The following is a 5,260-nucleotide window of genomic DNA, read 5'->3' on the forward strand; positions in this document are numbered from 1 at the left end:
CCATTTGTCTTCAAGACTCAGTTCAGGAATCTCCCACCTGAGAGACTGGATCCACTCCTCATTTTGAGCTGCATACTCCTCCCATGTGTGATCCCCCATAGATCTGTGCACATTTTCATTGTAGCATTTACCACACCATGCTGTAATGTATGTGTTCCTCCCATAGATGATGAGCTTCTTGTGTGAAGGACATGTCCTATTTGTGTATGTAACCCCAGAGAGGAGCACAGCACCTGTCATAATGTACATGGTCAGTAAATATTTAATGAATAACTACTTCCAGACATAGGGTCTGATGCCATGAAGCCCTACTGTAGCTGGAAGAAGACGTGATACTGTCTGCCTGAGATAGGTCCCAAGCAGGTTTCTGCGGCCCATCTTCTTTGGTGGTTTATATCTGCTTTTACTCAGTCAAGTTCTTTCCTGCCTGTCATCAGAGCTACATTTCTTGCTTTCTAGCTCCTGCATTCAAGATGAGTCCAGGCCATATTGTCAGCACAGTCTTGATTTTAGAACCCCAGCCCCAGCAGTGTCTACTACTTAGTCTAGTTTATCCACAGGTGCCCAAGGCACTGTGTGTGGAACACAGGGTGGTGGCTTGTGGGTGCTTCTGACTCCAGACTGACAAGTTACCTAGATTCTACCTGTCACTTGAGGTAGGCTGTGGTAAACAAAAGTAGCATTCAACAAGCAGGTGACCAAACGACCAATGATTATCAAAACCTAAAGAAAACAGTCTAAAAATAGAAGAACTGACAACTGAGGAAACAGAGCTAATTCAAGAAACACTCACTTGAAAATGAATGCAACTAGTATTTTCAGATTTGAGAGAATGCTGATTCACAAAATGGAAGAAGCATAGCAGATGGAGTGGCTGCTGGCATCTGGAAATGTTCTTGACCTTAACAATGCAGAAGAGAAACTACAGATGAAAAGTTAGTCAGTGAAAAGGGGAAGACTGCTGAAGAAAAGCCCAAGAGAGCCTTTCCGTAGTTGATAAACAGTGGCTAAAAGTCTAAGTAAGTTGCCTAGAGTTAGCAAGGTAACCTATAGAGAAAGAAAAGAGTGATGTGAGAAACTGAAAGGGTGGGAAAGGGGAGGTGAAATGTGGTGTAAATAAATGAAATCCTCACCCATCTTAGCAGAAATCTCATGTCCAAAACAGATAGATCTAGAAATAGGCCAGTTAATTAAAGACATAGAAGCACCTATAAACTAAGGTTGGGAGATAAGGAAGATGAGAGTGTTTTTCCCCTTCAAATGTATTTGAATCTTCTGAGTCTTCTCACAATAAAAATGGCTTACCTGTGTAATAAGAACAAATAAATGTATAATGAAATACAAGTACATTTGCATTATGCATACATGTTGCTACTATAAACCAAAAAGTACCTGAGACAGGTCTCAAACAATTTAAAAGTTTATTTTGCCGAGGATAAGGACATGCCCAGGAAAAAGGAACACAAAGCCACAGGAACAGTCTGTGGTCCATGTCTTTTTCCAAAGATGATTTTGGGGGCTTCAATATTTAAAGGGGGAAAGTGGGCTGGAGGGGAGAGAGGGAGGGTATGGTCACGTTATTGAATCCATGGGTTGCAAGAGAAAAGGGGCCAGGTAAGGTGGCTCATGCCTGTAATCCCAGCACTTTAAGAAGCCTAGGCGGGTGGATTGCTTGAGGTCAGGAGTTCAAGACCAGCCTGGCCAACATGGTGAAACCCTGTCTCTACTGAAAATACAAAAATTGGCCAGGCATGGTGGTGGGTGCCTGTTATCCCAGCTACTCTGGAGGCTGAGGCAAGAGAATCACTTGACCCTGGGAGGTGGAGTTTGCAATGAGCCGAGATTGTGCCATTGCACTCCAGCCTGAGTGACAGAGCGAGACTCCGTCTCAAAAAAAGAAAAGGAAAAAAGAGAAAAGGAGCAGGTAGGGGAATAGTCAATTAGATATTCCTCTCATGCTCAGTAAATTGGCACTTTATGTAAGGATAAGATGAACATAGAGTAGCTACCTGGGAAGCTACTTTTTATCTGTAGCTATCTGCTTAGGAACAAAAGGAAAGGTCTTGCATTACTCCACTTTCAGCTTAGTTTTTTCCTTTTGGCATCGTTAATTGGGATCCCAAGATTTTATTTTCCTTCGACACTGCCCATGTAAATTCAAGTATGCAGGCAGAGAGAGCTGGGGAAGGAAGGAGAATGAGAGAAATGACATTGAAATCCTGTAGTGGAGGTGACTCCACTGCTCCTCTGCTGCGGGCATGGAATTTGCCTCCAGGTGAGTGTGAGGGAGGAAATGGAAGCCCACTCTTCTCTTACTGGGTCTCAGATGTTTGCCACACCGGGTGGGATCTTGATGCTTAGAGATAAGAGTTTTAGTAAAACATGGTGTCCTAAACACAGCCTTTAGGGCGCTAATAGCACTCATGGTCCTCAATATCCAGATGTTGAGTGAGTGGAGACCTCAGTGATCTGACATTGGCTTCTCACAGCAGAAGCACTTTAGATTTGTGCCTAGGTAGTATTTTAAATTCCTCTACCTAGATTAACTGTGAGTGACTGTGTTTACCAGTGCTCTCTGCAGCTGGCTTCATTAGGGGCAAGCAGAGAATGATTGATTCTCCCACGGCTCCTTTAAACTCTTTCCTTCTTTCCTGCCTGTGCATGAAATCTTGAGCAAGTCTCCCAATGTTTTTGGCCCCTTCAAGCACAAAACCAGTCTTGTTTCAATAATTGAAAATTCCCATACAACAGGATTCCAAAATCTTGTCCAGCTGAAAGTGACCCCATCTTAGGCCTGTGCTGGCTGGAAACCTGCGACAGCATGGCAGCTCCTTCCCTGCTCCTCACCTGCCTCCCCACCTCCCTCTCACTGCAATGGGCTGGAAAGGGGCAGAAAGGCGCAGTGTGTGGAGGAAATGCCTTTCCTGACTGGTTCTTTTGTAATGAGGATGTGGATAGATGTGCAATTGCTGGCTGTTCCTCCCACAAAGCACATTGGCCAATGCTTGGAATCCCCCTGCTGCGACATGTGGATCACGTCTGTCCTCTGTGTGGCTCTGTCTGACTCTTCCCATGGCCTGTGAGCTTCTGCTGGAGGCTTCCTCTGTCCCAGACAGTCCTCCTTGGTGGGATCCCCCTTATGATGACCCCAGGCCAGGTCCTCTCTGCAGGGTCCCTGACTGCTCTCCAGAACGCATCACCCTCCATGCAAGTGCACGTGCACTGTTCTCAACCCAGCTGGGAACCCACTATTTCCAACCTAGCCTGTTTTCTTCATTCTGCTCCTACCGAAGAGCTGCTGTAGCCCTTAGGCTTAGTAGGTGGGAAACAAAAGTTTCTCTTCATCCCAAACTCTAGGCAACAGGATATCCAGCTCTCATGAAGTCCAAATCACTTGTCTTGAGGGAAGGGGAAGTACTTCCTCTCTGTGGGGTATGGGCAACCCACACATACTCCCCACCGCCAATCTCTTCCACCAGAACCTGCTCTGAGGCCTTGCTGGGTGACACTGGCAGGACTGGCTCCATAGTCTCCATGCACTCTGCTTTAGGGCACAGCACCCATCGTTCTGCCTTGAGAGATGAGCCCACCACGTTGTCCTCAGCCCTGGGGGCTCCTGCCAAAAGTGAAAGATACAGAGTCCCAGTTTACATCCTGTTACACCCTGAGAGTTTCCCCCGGAGTTTAGTCCTCAAATAAATCCACTAGTAGTGGAGCCTCCTTATTTAAGATACTTAGGTTCAGACTTGTCTGTGAAAGTGTAATTGGAGGTGAGGCAGAAATGGGTTTGTATGAGGGCTCCTGACAGAACGAGAAGGAAGGAGTGGGGGTGGGGGAGGAGAAAAGGAAAAGGAGAGCATCATATCTGCCTGAGAACGGTCCCCACCCTCACACCATGGGTTCCCATCTGAGCTCACTGGGGGACGCACATGCTGAAGAAAATGGCATCCCTATACACACAACGGGGCCGGAGTAGTGGGCACAGGCAAGAAAGGCCTCCCTGGAAGAATGCAAGGGATCCACACAGATGCACCCAATGTCTCTGGAAATGACTGGGCAAGACTTTGAGTGAAACTGGAGACCTGGCATTAATGAATGGGATAAAGCTAGAAAAACCAGAGTTATCCTTGATAATGTCACAACATGGAGTCCACAGGCTGGACAAACCTGGGACCATGGAAGCTATACTTTTAAGATCTTAATACAACGTTCAGTTAAAAAACCCTTCTGCTACCTATTTCCTTTAGAATACAAGATGCTAAGACCTGGAAAGCACCCCTTGCAACATCCATGTTTGACACTTTGGACAAAAGGGTTGGCTGTGCAATTCTTAGGACCCTCATCTCTGTCTGGACATTAGTGCCTCGCTATGGCCTGTGCCAAAACATGCGGTAGCGATAGCACACCCGTAGTAGATTAACATAAGTCATAGCCGTTCAGAAATTTCACCTCCTGCAAAAATGCGTTTAAGCTTTTCTTCAGGGAAGGCTGAGCTGTTGGCCCCAGAAGACTCTCAGCTGACCTAAACAACCCTTCTTTTTTATTTTCAAACAGTCTTAAATAGGTTTCTGCATGTGATGACAACAGACAAAAAGATAAATACAGTACATTGAAATTATTCATCTGGTTAAATATTATTGCAATATCTTGAGACTTTGCTAACTTCTCCTGGAGTTCAGATTCTCAGAGTCCTTTGTGTGAACCTCCACTTAAAATGCACAGCAATTGTGCACCTATTTGATAAACTTCCTCCTGTCACTTTCCGACACACACTGGCCATCAGTGCAAGCCAGTGGCTGAGACCGGCTCTTCTTATGCTGTGCTGTCAGCCACAGCCACTCTGACCATAACCCTGGGCCTCCTTTCTGCAGAATAGATTTGCACAAAGACCTCTCTCATAGCTGTTTCTCTCTGTCCCTAGAGGTCCCTGGGCTACGTCCTTGGGTTGGAACCCAAGCCAAAGCTAAGTGCAATGACACAATTGAGCTATTGTGTGAGCTGTAAGTAGAGGGAGGATGGCAGGGGCCCAGGGCTGACTCACCAGGCACACCTGCCTGGTCTGGCCTTCAGGGATCCCAGAGGGTAGAGACTGGGCCTCCTCATTCCAGGCCTTCCACCCCCAAGGGGTTGGGGACATCTCTTCTGCCTCCTCCTACTGTCCCCTGCTGCATTTCTCCTGGCCTTGTCTTCTCTCTACCTATGCAAAGGCCCAGAGGCCAGGCCCTAGACACAGTAGCCCCAAGCCACACCAGTTCTTCAG

General features: G+C 46.7%; 1 annotated feature.

Annotated features, from left to right (window-relative positions):
- Positions 640 to 889: an enhancer, noted in NCBI's record as "active region_16336". NCBI's record gives its function as "activates an Ori minimal core promoter by ATAC-STARR-seq in GM12878 lymphoblastoid cells {active_cell/tissue: GM12878}" and the evidence as "EXISTENCE:reporter gene assay evidence [ECO:0000049][PMID:35858748]".

Source organism: Homo sapiens, chromosome 2 (genome assembly GCF_000001405.40).
Source record: "Homo sapiens chromosome 2, GRCh38.p14 Primary Assembly".
In the NCBI taxonomy this organism is placed as follows: Eukaryota; Metazoa; Chordata; class Mammalia; order Primates; family Hominidae; genus Homo; species Homo sapiens.